The sequence below is a fragment of the Homo sapiens genome, chromosome 1 (assembly GCF_000001405.40).
Source record: "Homo sapiens chromosome 1, GRCh38.p14 Primary Assembly".
Lineage (NCBI taxonomy): Eukaryota > Metazoa > Chordata > Mammalia > Primates > Hominidae > Homo > Homo sapiens.
In genome coordinates this window covers 120079915-120082542 of record NC_000001.11, presented here as the reverse complement: position 1 = coordinate 120082542, position 2628 = coordinate 120079915, and the positions used below count along the sequence as shown (strand labels likewise).

The 2628-nt window shown below is 45.1% G+C and overlaps 1 annotated feature.

Moving 5' to 3' along the window:
- Window positions 705-1206: an enhancer, noted in NCBI's record as "NANOG hESC enhancer chr1:120623938-120624439 (GRCh37/hg19 assembly coordinates)". NCBI's record gives its function as "activates a minimal SCP1, AML or CMV promoter by ChIP-STARR-seq in primed H9 embryonic stem cells {active_cell/tissue: H9 hESC(primed)}" and the evidence as "EXISTENCE:reporter gene assay evidence [ECO:0000049][PMID:30033119]".

Below are 2628 nucleotides of genomic sequence, written 5' to 3'. Positions count from 1 at the left end.
TTCTAGAAATAAACAATCATTTATATTTTGTCAAACAAAAAGAAGAGGAGAAGAGATTTCAAAAGCACTGCTTCTGGGGAGGGTCTGGATCAAAGGTAAATGTGTGACTTTAGGTGACAGAAAAGCATCTCCACTCAGATGCATCCAATTTTGAGGGGGCACTGACTACAGGACAGTAGAGACAAGGGACACTCATGAACAAGCAGCTTTTCCAATTCTGGGTCCTTTTCAAACTGTAGTATCAACATATATTTTTAAGTTTCATAAATTCTTGGAACATTAAACATATCCATTCAAACAGTTCTTTCAATATGGTGGATATTTGTAGGCTGCCCTGGAAATCAGAACACCTTGAATTTAATTCCTGCTATGACATTGGCTGACTCTGTAACTTTCACCTTTTTTAGTTCTCCAAGATGATATAAATAATGGAAAACATACAGGACTCTAAAATGGTTGCAACATAGGTTCAAATCTGACCCCTACCACTTGTTAGCTTGTCAACATTGGATAAGTTATTTGACTTCTTTGAGCATCAGTATCTCTATTTGTTAAATGGAGATAAAGATATCTTTCTTGCAGGAATGTTGTATGGATCTAATGAGATCATGTATGCAAAACACCCAACACATAGTTGTCACTTTATAAATGGCTGTTCTAGTAGCCATTTGCACAGAGATGGGGAAAGGCTAGGTGACAAAAGGCATGGGCATTCTGAGCTCATCAGTTGATAGGGCTTCCTTAACGTCATAGCTTTATTAGAGAAGGAGGAGGATACAGCCCAGCCACATAGGAACTCAGGCCTGTTTTATTTCCGCAGGATCTGGTCACCACAACAATCAGAATGTGCAGGGGTAAGACTAAGGAAGAGAGAGAGAGGAAGAATGGATGGTGGCGGGGGGGGCGGCTCTCTTCTTCCTGGCGGCAGAGAATCCCCCAGTATTCCTTCAGTTGCAGAAACTAAATGGAAGGCAAATGGCTGTCTGCTTGTGGTGCATGCACCAAGACAAACTACTAAAGTGTTTCCTGCCCAGTCCCCACAGGTGTTGCTTCTCAGCTTTGGATAAGTCCTCCAGCAAGTACCTTGTTGAAAGCGAGAAAGGCAGCTGCATAACTCTCCAGTCCACAGAGCTAACAAATCACTGTGTCATCAAAGAAGAGGGAATCATGGGAAATAGCCTGTGGTTCACCCTCTAAGGCAGGGAGTCAGGAGGCTGTGAGGTGGCACATTTGATTCTTGCTCATTAACATAGTTTCTCTTTGTGTCCTCCTCCTCCTCTTTGCCTGCTTGCCTGTTCCACTGGGTAAGCAGCAAGTGCCTACTCAAATCATTATTTATCAAATGTGTACTATGTTCCCAACATTCATTCAATACACCTATATTGAAAGCCTTTTATGAGAATAACAAAAATAACAAGATAGATTCAGAGTAAGATTCAGAGACTGAAGCAAGTCCCCATATAGTAATCACATGTTCAACTAGTTGTTAAGTGGTATATATAATACATAGAAACCAACCGTGGAGGACCTCAGGGAAAGGAGCCAGGAAGCTGAGGAAGGCTTTGGAGAGAAGATGACATTGGAGCTAGGCCTTCACCCAAAATTCCATAGGTGTTGGTCCATTTTGCATTGCTATAAAGGAATACCTGAGACTGGGTAATTTAAGGGGAAAAGGGGTTTATTTTGGCCAGGACTGGTGGCTCACATCTATTATCCCAGAACTTTGGGAGGCTGAAGCGGGTGGATCACTTGAGGTCAGGAGTTTGAGACCAGCCTCCCCAACATGGCAAGAGCCTGTCTCTACTAAACATAGAAAAATTAGCTGGGTGTGGTGGCACAAGCCTGTAATCCCACTTACCCAGGAGGCTGAGGGATGAGAATTGTTTGAACCTGGGAGGCAGAGGTTGCAGTGAGCGGAGCTTGCACCAGGGCACTCCAGACTGGGAAACAGAGCAAGAATTTGTCACGAAAAAAAAGAAAAAAAGAAAAAAAGAGGTATGTTTGGCTCACAGTTCTGCAGGCTGTAGATGAAGCAGAGTGCTGGCATCTGCTTCTGGTGAGGGCCTTGGGAAGCTTACATTCATGCTGGAAGGCAAAGGGGAGCCAGTGTGTCATATGGCAAGAGACGGAGCAAGAGGGGGGGGGTGTCAGGCTCCTTGTAAACAACCAGGTCTACTGTGAACTAAAAGAGTGAGAACTTGCTTATCACCAAGGGGATGGCGCTAAGCCATCCATGAGGGATCTGCCCTCAAGATCCAACACCTCCCATTGGGCCCCACCTCCAACATTGGGGATCACATTTCAACATGAGATTTGGAGGGGACACACATCCAAACCATATATCACTATGGGTCCACTATATCACTATGGATCCAGGGGAGGATGGGATAGGGGAGGGGAGGCAGCAAGGGCATTATAGGCAAAGGGAAGTGCACATATGAAGGTGAAGAGGACATGAGCCCCCAGCATGTCTGGGGACTGGCTGGTAGCTTGATGTGCCTGGAACAAAGGCTATGCAATCCTGGGCAGCAGCAGGGGGAGAGGTAAATGTGGTCAGAATGCCAACGATTTTCCATGCCATCTGTCCAGTTTGGGCTCTAACTGTAGAGAATGGGGAGCCATTGGTGA